Source organism: Homo sapiens, chromosome 2 (genome assembly GCF_000001405.40).
Source record: "Homo sapiens chromosome 2, GRCh38.p14 Primary Assembly".
NCBI lineage: Eukaryota > Metazoa > Chordata > Mammalia > Primates > Hominidae > Homo > Homo sapiens.
This window is the reverse complement of record NC_000002.12, coordinates 221,137,235-221,141,401: the sequence shown is the minus strand read 5'-3', so window position 1 is coordinate 221,141,401 and position 4,167 is coordinate 221,137,235.

Here is a 4,167-nt window from a genome sequence, read left to right as displayed (position 1 = left end):
ATATGTTTACATTAGTTCTAAATACATAAACAAGATACTTATATCTAAGGTTAAACCTATATAGAATCAAGGAATAAACAAGGGTTGCAGGTCTAAGAATTATTTAATATCCTTCTAGCGATTTCTCACATCTTCATGATGATCACATCAGGTGATTCTTACAATCAGCTCTCAAAGTACAATCTGATATTCTTTAAATTCAGGTTCTTTTGTATAAGTTCACAGCCACCTTTTTGTGCTACCAGTTAGTACAAACAGCTACTGGCTCAATCTGTCAGTCTTCTTAACAGTAGGTCTTTGCATTTTAGGCCTGCCTGAAATGCAAAGGCCCCCTTGTTATTTTGGGATGCACGTAAAGGAATACTTCACATGGACCCCAAGGTGGTCTGGCGTCAGAAGTCACTGACTTGGCCCTCGTGCTTTCTCTGGCAGCAGGAGTCACTGACTTGGTCCTAGTACTATCTCTGGCTTTATCTTCCACGTGTTCATCCCTACTGACACTCTTTAGGAAACTCTCCATGGCCATGGTGCTGGTAATTCCAATGTCCCTGGGTGCCCCCAAAGCTTCCCAAACTCTAGGTACTCAGTTATCACAGGACATATGCAAGACTGAAAGAGATTTGTGTTCTTCCACACTCAGTTAAAGACCCTAGAGATGACCCTCTAACTAGTTCTACATGAAATCTCTGAGTAACACTATTAACGTTGGCCTCTGCTTTCCTCTTACTGTAGTTAGTTAGAACAATTCCGCCATTCACAGTGAGAGATGAAGTCTAAACCTTCTCACTCCTCTCCTAATCTCTCATCACCAGATCCTTCTCTCTTCTTTCCAAGTCAAGGAGCAAACTCCCATGCATATGAATGGATTAAGTGATCTATTTTGATTGATGGGAAAGTATTTTTCTAAACTGGGTATAGGGAGATTAAGAAAATTGATAGACATGAATAGTTGGTAGTGACTTATACCTGCATCCTTATTGTTTTCTCCAAAGAATTTGGTTTGATAGTGTGTTGCTGTTGTAGTTTTTCAGGTTCTCTGCCCTTCTACTCTTAATCCTGCTGATACCTGACCCTGACTCATTAGGAAACTGGGGAAGGCCTCCTCTTCAATAATTCACAGTGCATTTGGAGGTCATCTGAAAAGTCTGAGGACATTAAGACACGCCTTTGAATAAGAATTCCTCTGCTGCTTTGAGTGTTGGAGAAGTTTCTAGTCATGTTACTATTTATGATACCAATACTGGTTTGTGTCACGTATTTAGCTACCGTTCTGAAGGAAAGTCAGCTTGCGTTTGCATGTATATTTATATATATATATTCTCAATATAACATCAAGTAGTGTAGGAACTGGAAATCTAACGTGTGGACTCCACATTTCTCATGGCATCTGTGGTGAAGATGCAGATGGAGTTGAGTTTGTAGGCTGTGGTGACCTAAGACCAGTACCTGTTATAATTCAATAATTGTTTTGGAAGTTTTGATCGAGTGATACATTGAGATCAGACTCAGTGGCCAGAGAAAAATCTTATTGCCGTTAGAATCAATTGATCATTTTGTTTATAGGGTGGTCTAGACTGAGGCCAGATAAGTCATTGTCATGGAAAAAGGTTCATCTTTTTTCTTTAAAAAGGAAAAAAAAAACACCACATCTTTTGTATTTCTTCTCTCCTCCTACCTCACCTTTGAGAAAAGGTGACAGTAAGGGAAGAATAGGGAGCACAAACAGGTTAAAAAACAAACTGTTAAACATGACTCTAAAACTGTAACAAATCCATGAAAATGGTGCTTGTCTTTAGGGATTTAATTTTATGCTTTTCGTACCTGATATAAAAATAGTCATTATCTTGTTCCATATATACTTATAGATATGTCTATGTAAGGAATTTTTTAAAAAAACACAAATGGAGGAGCAGGGAGGGGGAACATCTCAAGATATTTTAAATCCACTGAACTTCTTGCTTGGACATTTTTAGATACTTACAAAATTTTTGAACATATTCTTTAAAAATGTATTTATCAACTATTATAAGCCTACATATCTTTTCATTCTTAAGAGATTGGAGCCTATCAAACTAAAGTGGGGTAGAATGATGACTACAATTTTTTTGAAGTATTTTAATTTTAAGTATGGAATGAAAAGAAATATAGGACAAATGTACATGTGCAATTTGCATGAGCAATACATTTCATAATGTGGTTTCGCTAGAATGTAAGCCACATGGTGGTAGGGGTCTTGTCTGTCTCATTCACTGCTGTGCTCCAGTGCTTACCACAGTGTGCGAGTCATAGTAGAAACAATATCAGCTTAAATGAGTGAATACATACACATACACAGCCTTGCAGATGTCAAGGACTAGAAATTATTGGTTTCTATAACTACATTGCCATACTGCCTTATGAATGAAGCATTGCATTCAATTTGATCTTCTACCTAAAAACATAATCTAATATTTGGAAGAGAAGGGTATACATGTACATGTACAGATTTTACCTTAACTTATCTTAATGCTTTTAATTGCTACACTATTTGGCAGAAGAAATGCTATCATTAGCAAACTAATAGAAATTCAGAGATGATAAATAAATCTCCCATTATTGGAAAATAGTTTGAATTGTTTTTTGTCTTGAGGAATACATGCCTTTGGGTCCTTTTGCTCTAGACTGACTTATGGAGGCATATCTTTATTATCAACACAAGCATATTCCAGTAATGTTTATCTTATCAGCAAACTGAAAATCATCCTTTCCTAGGAATAAAATCCCTACACTTTATTTCATGGATATCTTTTATTTGCTAGATATGTAGTAAAATAGAAAAGTTTAGATTTTCTAAAGAGATCTGATTCAATAATGTGACTCTTGGTTCTTAGAGAACCACTGAGTTTTTTAAATCACCATAAGTATATCAATTTCTGTAGAATATGAGACATAAACCTCTAGATCATTTCTATTGATCTATAAGTTTACAGCTTAATTTTCCCTATCTGAAAAGCTAATGGATAAAGAGTTACTGTGATAGTCAAAATGACTGATCATAGCAGATGCCAAGATTCAAACATGATTGGATTACAGCATTTTATGAAACAATCAGAGAGGCCCTGACGATGGAGGGGATAGAGGTTAGATTGTTAAATTTCATCAGCATTTATAAGGGAAAGGTGATGTGAGTCTTGCCTTCTCTACAGGTTCTTGGGAAAGTCACATTAATAAGACTTTCTTTTTCTATCTCAAATCCTGTACATGAAAACTCAATTACCAAAAGTATCATAAGGAGTTCATTTATGAACATGATCCTAGAGAAAATAAGGACATGTCATTTCCCGCTTTAAAAACATCCAATGGCTTCCCATCACGCTTGTGAAAGAATCTACCTCCTTGACAAGAACCACAATTCCTATCAGAGCTGGACAGTGCCTGCTTCTCAATCTTGTTTCCTAAGCACTGCTGCCATTTTATTTGTCTCCTTAACTTTCATGATTCTTTTCACCAGACACTATCTGCCCACAGGTCTCCCGATGAACTAGCTGAAATATTGCCCACACAGAGACCTTCCCTCACCACCCATCTCAAGTAATTCAACTCCTCCCACTAGAATATAAACTCTGTGAGAAGAGATTTTCCATTTATTCTACTGTAATCTTCCTTAGCAGTGGACTGTTACAAAGTAGGTAGATGCCCATCCAATATTTGTTAGATGGCTTTTTAACAAATGTGCTTCTTGTTTATACCTTAATTTAAAAAATTAACCTTGGTGGTTCATCTAAGGGAGCCAGCAGCTGGTGGAAGAGGCGGAATCATCGTGTAGGTGCCTGCCTGCCAAGAGTTTTTTTGCTCTGTCTCAACATTAGAATTTCACTTCCTTTTTTGCCTTTTATACAGTGTTTTGCTTTTCATTGTTTTCTTCTTCTTTAAATAATTTTGTTATTAAAAATATCTGGAGGAGAAAGTTTCAGATATTATGAGTAATATTCAAAGTGTTCCTTCATAAGGATGAGAATAAAGATACCAAAGAGTATGTAGAGCCTGTGAACATTCATGTCAAAAATGCAGAAATAATAATAGGTATTTTGCATTTGTTTGTATGTGCACAAAGAAGCTCTGGAAGAATATGCAAGAAATGAATCGTAGCAGGTACCTGGGAAGTGGGGACAATGGATTAGAAAAAGG